The sequence below is a fragment of the Homo sapiens genome, chromosome 16 (genome assembly GCF_000001405.40).
Source record: "Homo sapiens chromosome 16, GRCh38.p14 Primary Assembly".
Classification (NCBI taxonomy): Eukaryota; Metazoa; Chordata; class Mammalia; order Primates; family Hominidae; genus Homo; species Homo sapiens.
The window spans coordinates 69,966,860-69,976,291 of record NC_000016.10 but is presented as its reverse complement, the minus strand read 5'-3'; the positions used below and the strand labels follow the sequence as shown (position 1 = coordinate 69,976,291).

General features: G+C 50.4%; 1 annotated feature.

The window, feature by feature from the left end:
- Positions 3,326–3,826: an enhancer, noted in NCBI's record as "H3K27ac hESC enhancer chr16:70006369-70006869 (GRCh37/hg19 assembly coordinates)". NCBI's record gives its function as "activates a minimal SCP1, AML or CMV promoter by ChIP-STARR-seq in primed H9 embryonic stem cells {active_cell/tissue: H9 hESC(primed)}" and the evidence as "EXISTENCE:reporter gene assay evidence [ECO:0000049][PMID:30033119]".

Genomic DNA, 9,432 nt, shown 5'->3' with positions numbered 1-9,432 from the left:
ACTGCAGTCCTTATGTTATTGCTTTGTTTCAATATCGGTATGATTGCCTGAGGGACCTGAGGTTTTTAATTGTAGGGGTTTTTTTTAGTCTTTAGAAGTGGTTGGTTATGTAAAATATTATTATTATTTTTTGAGACTGGGTTTTGCTCTGTCAGCCAGGCTGGAGTGCAGTGGCTCAATCACAGCTCACTGCATCCTCAACCTCCTGGGCTTCAAGCAATCCTGCCTCAGCCTCCCAAGTAGCTGGGATCACAGATGTGTGCCACCATGCCTGGCCAATGTTAAAAAATCCTTTAACTTTTTTGTAGAGATGCACTCCTGGACTCAAGCGATCCTCCTACTGGTCCCGACCACCAGCCTCTTTCTGATAAACATTTACACTGTTTATTATCTGATGCCATTTCTATCTTCTTCCTTGTCGTCCAGACATCAAAGAATTAGGTTTCTTCAGGGTTTTCTTTTTCAAGTCTTCATTGTTAAAGATCACTCACATTAGGGCCAGACACCACGACTCATGCCTGTAATCCCAGCACTTTGGGAGGCCGAGGCGGGCAGAGCACTTGAGGTGGGGAGTTTGAGACCAGCCCGGCCAACTTGGTGAAACCCCACCTCTACTGAAAAACATACAAAAATTAGCTGGGCGTGATGGTGCATGCCTGTAGTCCCAGCCACTTGGGAGGCTGAGGCATGAGAATCGCTTGAACCCAGGAGGCAGAGGTTGTAGTGAGCCAAGATCACATCAGCACACTCTAGCCTGGGTGACAGAGCGAGACTCTGACTCAAAAAATAAATAAAATAAATATCACTTACATTAGATATACCCAAGGGGTGGTCTATAGAGAGTTGGAAGCAGTGGTTATTGCAACAGGGGCACGGAAGTCATCTGGCTATGCCAGGATGCCCAGGGGATACTCGGGGTGGGTGGCATGGTGGTGCTGGGGACTCACCGCACAGGACGCTCTGATTGACGCACTGCCAGGAGTAGCGCTCTGTCTTGGGGCTGCAGCCGGCCTCCTCAGCTCCAGTGTAACAACAGTCGTGGCCATGGCAGCACCTGCGGATGTCACATGGGCAGGACAGCAGGTGGGTGAAGCTCTCTCCTGGCCCTCCTCTGCTGCCAGGACCATGGGTGACTGAAGACCCCCAGGGAGGCACAGCATCCTCTAAGATTTTTTTTTTTTTTTTTTTTTTTTTTAAGAGACAGACAGGGTCTTTCTCTGTCGCCCAGGCTGGAGTGCACAGGCACAATCATAGCTCACGGCAGCCTTGAACTCCTGGGCTCAAGCGATCCTCCCACTTCAGTGTCCCAAGTAGCTGAGACTACAGGCACACGCCAGCATGCCCGGCTGGTTTTTTAATTTGTATTTCCTTTGAGACAGCGTATCTCTCTGTCGCTCAGGCTGGAGTGCAATGGCTCAATCAATCAGCTCACTTTAGCCTTGAACTCCCGGGCTCAAGTGATACTGCCACCTCAACCTCCCAAGTATGCTACTACAGGAACACAAACTCCTTTTTTAAATTTTTTGTGGATATGGGGTCTCACTATGTTGCCTAGGCTTGTCTCGAACTCCCAGGCTCAAGCAGTCCTCCTACCTCAGCCTCCCCAAATGCTGGGATTACAGGTGGGAGCTACTGTACGCCTGGCCTTATCTAAGCTGTTTCCCTGAAAATGCCCGTCTTGGGTAATGATTCCATTGGCCCCACCATGCCCTGTCCTGCCTTCCTGGCTGTGCCCAAGCTTGGTCCCTGCCTGCCTGCCTGCCTGCCTCACTCTCTCTCTGGGTCTCGAGCTCCTGTGACACGTGACTCCTCTCTCTTCCTGGAGTGATCCAAGCCCTGCCACTTCCTGACTTTGCCCACACTGTACCCTCTGCCTGGGGCAACTTCATGTCTGCCCATTGTCCCTTAGGCCTCAGCCCAGGCACAAGCCCCTGCCTGCGGAGGTCATCCAGGCCTCACCAGGCTACACCCTCTCGTAAAATTGGATTCCCTCCCTTCAGGGCAGGTTTATAATGAAACCCTCCTCAGAGGCCAGCTGCGGTGACACCCATCTGTAATCCCAGCACTTTGGGAGGCTGAGGTGGGAGGATCACTTGAGGCCACGGGTTCGAGACCAGCCTGGGCAACATAAGAGAGACTCTTGTCTCTCTTGTCTCTATAACAAATTTAAAAATTAGCTCCCCAGGCCAGGCTCAGTGGCTCATGCCTGTAATCCCAACACTTTGAGAGGCCGAGGCAGGTGGATCACGAGGTCAGGAGTTCGAGAGCAGCCTGACCAACATGGCGAAACCCTGTCTCTACTAAAAATACAAAATTAGCCAGGCATGCTGGCACGCACCTGTAATCCCAGCTACTCGGGAGGCTGAGGCAGGAGAATCGCTTGAACCCAGGAGGTGGAGGTTGCGGTGAGCCAAGATCACGCCATTGCAGTCCAGCCTGAGCAACAGAGCAAGACTCTGTCTCGAGAAAATAAAAACACACAAAAAATTAACTCGCCATGATGGCACATGCCTATAGTCCTAGCTACTTGGGAGGCTGAGGTGGGAGGATTCCCTTCAGCCCAGGAGTTTGAGGCTGCAGTAAGCCACTATGATTGTGCCACTGCACTCTAACCTGGGCAAAAGCGAGACCCCAGGCCAGAGTGCATGATTTTGGGTCACTGCAACCTCCACCTCCCAGGTTCGAGTGATTCTCCTGCCTCAGCCTCTTGAGTAGCTGGGACTACAGGCATGTGCCACCACGCCTGGGTAATTTTTGTATTTTTAGTAGAGACAGGGTTTAGTAGAGACCATGGTGAAACCCCGTCTCTATTAAACAAATCTCTACTAACCCCATCTCTACAAAAAACAGCTGGGCATGGTAGTGCACACCTGTAATTCCAGCTACTTGGGAGGCTGAGGCACGAGAATCATTTGCATCTTGGAGGCAGAGTTTGCAGTGAGCTGAGATCGCACCACTGCACTCCAGCCGGGATGACAGAGCAAGACCCTGTCTCAAAAAAAAAAGAAAAAGGAACAAACAACAGCAACAACAACAACAAAACCTCTGTGTCAATCACAGCCTTCGAGCTAGGGGAGAGGCGGCCGAATTCTGCCCTCTGCTGACGAGCTATAGCTTTGTGGAGATGGGTGAGTGGCATGCCCTTGTGAGCCTCAGGGCCCCATCTGTAAAATGGGCCTAACTGTCATGCCCGTCTTTAAGAACAGCCTTGGGGGTAAATGAGTGGAAGTCATGGAAAGATCTCAGCCCACAACCTGCCACAGAACAGGCGCTTCTCACACAGTAAGTAGCAGGAGTGCAGAGGCTGCAGGCATGAATCCAGCCAGACTGCCTGGGTTCAAGTCCCAGCTCCCACGTCTTGGTAACTAAGTGGCCTCAGACAAGTTACTTAGTATTTCTTTTTTCTTTTTTTTTTTTTTTTTTTTCCAGACGGAGTTTTGCTCTGTCACCCAGGCTGGAGTGCAGTAGTGTGATCTCGGCTCACTGCAACCTCCGCCTCCTGGGTTCAAGCAATTCTCCTGCCTCAGCTTCCTGAGTAGCTGGAATTACAGGCACCTGCCACCACACCCAGCTAATTTTTGTATTTTTAGTAGAGACAGGGTTTCACCGTGTTAGCCAGGATGGTCTCGATCTCCTGACCTCGTGATCCGCCTACCTCGGCCTCCCGAAATGCTGGGATTACAGGCATGAGCCACTGCACCCGGGCGACCTGTTTCATTCTGCTTTCTTCCCATCTGGCTACTGACCTCCCCTGTCCTGGTGTCATCTGCTGTCATTCATGATGACCCTGCTCATTAGCTGCCCTACCTGTGCTCCATGCACTCAGCTGTGGCGATGCAGGAGGAAGTCCACCTGGGGAGTCCACTCCTGAGCCAGGAGTCCAGAGCAAGCATCTCCAGCCCGCTTCCAGGTGCTTGGCCCCGTGATGGTTCATTCATTTATTCTCCAGACCCCTACTGAGCACCTGCCTCATGCCCAGCCCTGAGCAGACAGCAGTGAGCAGGTTCCCACCCTCACTCTCTGGTGTAGAGCTGTCCTCTCTGGTAGCAAGTGCTGAGAGACGGGCCCAAAACCAACGGTACCTCCATCAGGTGATCTGGCCGCGGGAAGCACAGGGGTGGCATCACCTGACTTCCCAGCCCTCCTTGAAGCTGACTCTTGCCTTTAAACCCATGGAGCTTTCCTTCTCTTTTTCTTGTTCTCTTTCTCTTTCTTTTTCTTTTTTTTTCTTTTTCTTTCTTTCTCTTTTTCTTTTTGTCTTTTTTGTCTTTCAAGAAATTGAGGCCAGGCATGGTGACTCACGCCTGTAATCCTAGCACTTTGGGAGGCCGAGGTGGGTGGATCACCTGAGGTCAGGAGTTCAAGACCAGCCTCACCAACATGGAGAAACTCCATCTCTACTAAAGAAAAAACAACAACAACAAACACAGCTAGCATGGTGGGAGATCACATCATTGCACTCCAGCTTGGATTTCAGAGTGCGACTCCTCAAAAAAAAAAAAAAAAAAAAAAAAGCCAGCCGGGCACAGTGGCTCACGCCTGTAATCTCAGCACTTTGGGAGGCCAAGGTGGGTGGATCACCTGAGGTCAGGAGGTCGAAACCAGCCCGACCAATGTGATGAAACCCCATCTCTACTAAAAATACAAAAACTAGCCAGGCATGGTGGCGTGCACCTGTAGTCCCAGCTACTCAGGAGGCTGAGACAGGAGAATCGCTTGAACAAGGAGGCGGAGGTTGCAGTGAGCTGAGACGGTGCTATTGCACTCCAGCCTGGGCAACACGAGTGAAACTCCATCTCCCAAAAACAAACAAACAAAACAAACAAGCCACGTGATCTGAGACTCAGCCTACAAGTGCTGGCTTTGTCAGTCCCATGTTCTGACCAGGGCCTCATTGACCATTGCATTCCATGCGGGGTGAAGCTAGTAGAGAGCGGCCTTGTGCGAAGGCAGTAAGGCCTGGAGCTGGGTGCCCTGAGTATCTGTGATGTCATCTAACTTCTTGAAACCGTGTATCGGTCATGAGGCAGGAGAGCGAGATCTCATTGCTCTCTCAAGGTGTTCTCCATGCGGCCCTGGACACATCTGTTAACTGTTCTGTAAGACGCGGGTATTAATAGCACCTGCTTTGTGAGATGATTTTGAGGTTTAAATGAGAAGAGGAGGTTGGGCACCGTGGCTCACACCTGTAATCCCAGCGCTTTGGGAGGCCGAGGTGGGTGGATCACCTGAGGTCAGGAATTCAAGACCAGCCTGGCCAATATGATGAAAGCCAGTCTCTACTAAGAATAACTTCTTTGCCCAGTTACCTTCTTTTTTTGCGGGATGGGGGTGGGGAGACAGCTCCTCACTCTGTCACCCAGGTGGGAGTTTAATGACGTGATCACTGCACCCTCGGACTCCTGGGCTCAAGCAATCCTCCTACCTCATTCTTCCAAAGAGCTGGGATTACAGGCACGAGCCACTGTGCCTGGCCCAATGTCTCTATTTTTTATTTATTTATTTATTTATTTTTTGAGCCACAGTTCCGCTCTTGTTGCCCAGGCTAGAGTGCAATGGCGCGATCTCGGCTCACCACAACCTCCGCCTCCCAGGTTTAAGTGATTCTCATGCCTCAGCCTCGCCAATAGCTGGGATTACAGGCATGCGCAACCATGCCTGGCTAATTTTTGTATCTTTAGTAGAGACAGGGTTTCTCCGTGTTGGTCAGGCTGGTCTCGAACTCCCGACCTCAGGTGATCCACCCACCTCGGACTCTCAAAGTGCTGGAATTACAGGTGTGAGCCACCATACCCGGCCTCAGTTTCTTTATTCTTGTCCTTCCATCGACGTGGCCCCTTTTTTTTTTTTTTGAGACTAGTCTTGCTCTGTCACCCAGCGGGGAGTGCAATGGTGAGATCTCAGCTCACTACAACCTCCACCTCCCGGGTTCAAGCGATTCTCCTACCTCAGTCTCCTGAGTAGCTGGAATTACAGGCGTGTGCCACCACACCTGACTAATTTTTTGTATTTTTAGTAGAGAAAGTGTTTCACCGTGTTGGGCAGGCTAATCTCAAACTTCTGACCTCAGGTGATCCACCCGCCTCGGCCTCCTGAAGTGCTGGGATTACAGGCATGAGCCATTTTCTTTCTGCCCAGCTATTTTTTTTGTATTTTTTGGCTAGACGGGGTCTCACCCTGTTGCCCAGGCTGATCTCAAACTCCTGTCCTCAAGCGATCCTCTTGCCTTGGCCTCCCAAAGTGCTGGCATTACAGGCATGAGCCACTGCACCTGGCCTTCGCTTTGAATTAAAGTGGCAGGCAGGAAGAAGCATCATCTCAAAAATTGATGGTGACAGCGGCAGCGACTACATCTAGCTTGCACAGGTGGCAGCTTCTGTCCCACTTCGGTGGTGCCAATTGTAGCTTCTGTGCCAGCAGAGGCTGTGGGTTCTTCACCTGGCCAGCTTTGCCCAATGTCCTCTTCCTGATTTGATTTTCTGACCCTTTTGAGCTCCTGGGAACTAGCCAGGACCTCTGACCAAGTCCCTTTCTGCTTAGAGTTGCCAGAATTAGTTTCTGTTGGTTAAAACTAAGAACCTTGATTCTCACAAAAATAGGACCAGGACTGGACAGAGCAAGAAGCCCCAAAGGAAACAGGAGCAATTGAAGGCTGGAAAGTGGCCAGAGGACAGTGAAAATCCAGCTGGTATTAAGGGACAGGACACCAGCAGCCCCATGGCACGCCCTGGCAAGACAGCTAATCCCATTGTCCCCGGGAACAAAGTACCCATCAAAGGCAAGGCTTTGGGGGACCTAATGGCTCCTGCCATAGAAGAGAATAAAGATTACACTGAAGTCAAGATCTGCTGGGCAGGGCGGTCATGTTAACAGCGCCACATAGCTTAAATGAAAAGACAAGCTCAGAATCCAAATTCTTGGCTCAAGGTATGGTTAGAAAACCCGAGTGTGCCTGGCCAAAATGGCAAAACCCCGTCTCTACTAAAAATACAGAAATTAGCCAGGTGTGGTGGCGGGTGCCTGTAATCCCAGGTACTTGGGAGGCTGAGGCAGGAGAATCGCTTATATCCAGGAGGCAGAGGTTACAGTGAGCTGAGATCACACCACTGCACTCCAGCCTGGGCGACAGAGTGAGACTTTGTCTCCAAATAAAAAAAACCAAAACTCGAATGTGTTATTTTGCAGCTGAGAGAGCAGAAAAAACTGAAAACTTGATCCAATGGTTACAGAATGACCAAGGGGACCCACACCTTAAAAGGTCTTTATTTGGGAAAGAGTGAAATGTGGAGACCAGAGGCTATGAAAATTAGGCTGTGTGGAAAGATAGGGAAGCCTTAGGTACCTAGCCCCTCCCCTCCCCACCACCCTTGCCAGCCAAAGCTTCCTCTTTGTCACTCTGAAGATCCTAGTAGCAGGAACTCCCTTGCGGGCAGTTAGGTGTTCTATGTAGCTGAGGTATGGCCTGCAGCGACGGCTGAGTCTGTTTCTACACTGCTATAAAGAAACATCCAAGGTTGGGTGCGGTGGCTCATGCCTGTAATCCCAGCACTTTGGGAGGCCGAGGTGGGCGGATCACCTGAGGCTTGGAGCACGAGACCAGCCTGACCAACATAATGAAACCCCCTCTCTACTAAAAATACAAAACTAGCTGGGTGTGGTGGTTCACGCCTGTAATCCCAGCTACTTGGGAGGCTGAGGCAGGAGAATAGCTTCAACCCGAGAGGCAGAGGTTGCAAAGAGCCGAGATCACGCCATTGCACTCCAACCTGGGCAACAAGAGCAAATCTCCATCTCAAAAAAGCAAACACCGAGACTGGGTAACTTATAAAGAAGTTTAATTGACTCACAGTTCCACACGGCTGGGGAGGCTTCAGGAAACTTACAACCATGGAGGTAGGGGAAAGCAGACACCTTCTCCACAGGATAGTTACGAGGATGTAAGCACGAGAAAGAGGAACTGCCACGCTTTAAAACCATCAGATCTCGTGAGAACTCACTCACTGTCACGAGCACAGCATGGGGGAAACTGCCCCCAGGATGCAAGTACCTCCACCTGGTCCATCCCTCAACCCGTGGGGATTGTAATTCGAGATGAGATCTGGGTGGGGACACAAAGCCTAACCATATGGGTGGGACGGATGGCAGTTATTTCCAGGGTGGGCTGTAGCCTCTTCCTCCAACCTACATCTCCTGTTTCCCAAGCTGGTAACCTGGATGCCCTGGGTGACCTAAGAAGCCATGTGCTAAAGATGTCAGGACCTCAGTCGGCCGGGGTTCCCCCTTCCCCATTTCAGTTGAGGGAGGAAGAGCCTTTCAAGAGCGAGAGCTAGCCAGCAGCTAGCATTTCCCTATGTAACACACCCTGTAATGACCCTGCCCCGAAGGAGTCTCCTTATAAGCCCTACCCCTCATTTTCTCCAGAATTAAATGACAAGTCACATCCCCGCAGGCCCCAGGGGCCAAATCTAGGAGGGTACTGAATCATCAAAAAACTCCAGGGGGAAGATACTGAATCACCAAAAGAAACTTAAAGATTTTGCTAATTGATATTGGCTTACTCACAGTACATGGTTGGCTAAAAAATTTTTTTAATTGATATTGGCAAAAATCTGGGAAGGTGATCTGAGAATGAATTCTGAGGGTGCAGGATGGGTGAGGGAGGAAGGGGATGCTAGATAGGGATGAATGTACCGATATTGAGGATTCCACAGGGACAGCTTGAGAAGCTGGGATTATAGGCGTGAGCCACAGCGATAATGTAGTACTTTCAGTGCTGAAATCAGGACAGTGCCAGGCAAACTCGGACAATTGGTCAACCTAGCTGTTAAGTAACTAACTTGCTCTAAATCACAGTTATTAAGTGGCAGGGCCTGTATTCAAATGCAGGTGGGCTGACTTCAGATTCAAATTGTTTGCTTTTGCCAGTGGTTCTCAATCTTGAGCATGCAAACCTGGAGGCCTTGTTAAAATTCAGATAGCCCCATCTTCAGGGTCTCCAATTCAGTAGGTTGGGGCGGCCGAGAATTTGCCTAACCAGCTCCCTGGTGATGCTGAGGCTGCTGGACTGGGAAGACTGGGAACCAACTGAGAAGACCTTTGTATTTGGCTTTCTCACCTCCAGATAAGGGCTTTTTAACTTTTATTTTGTGAGACAAGGTCTCAATCTCTCACTCACGCTGAAATACAGCTTATGATCATGGTTCACTGCAACCTCAAACTCTTGGGCTCAAGCAATCCCCTGCCTCAGCAATATGAATAAACATATTGGAGGCCAGGTGTGAGACTCCACCTCAAAATAAAAAGTAAAGGAATAGGGCTGGGCGCGGTGGCTCACGCATATAATCCCAGCACTTTGGGAGGCCAAGGTGGGCAGATCATCTGAGGACAGGAGTTTGAGACCACCTTGGCCATCGTGGTGAAACCCCGTCTCTA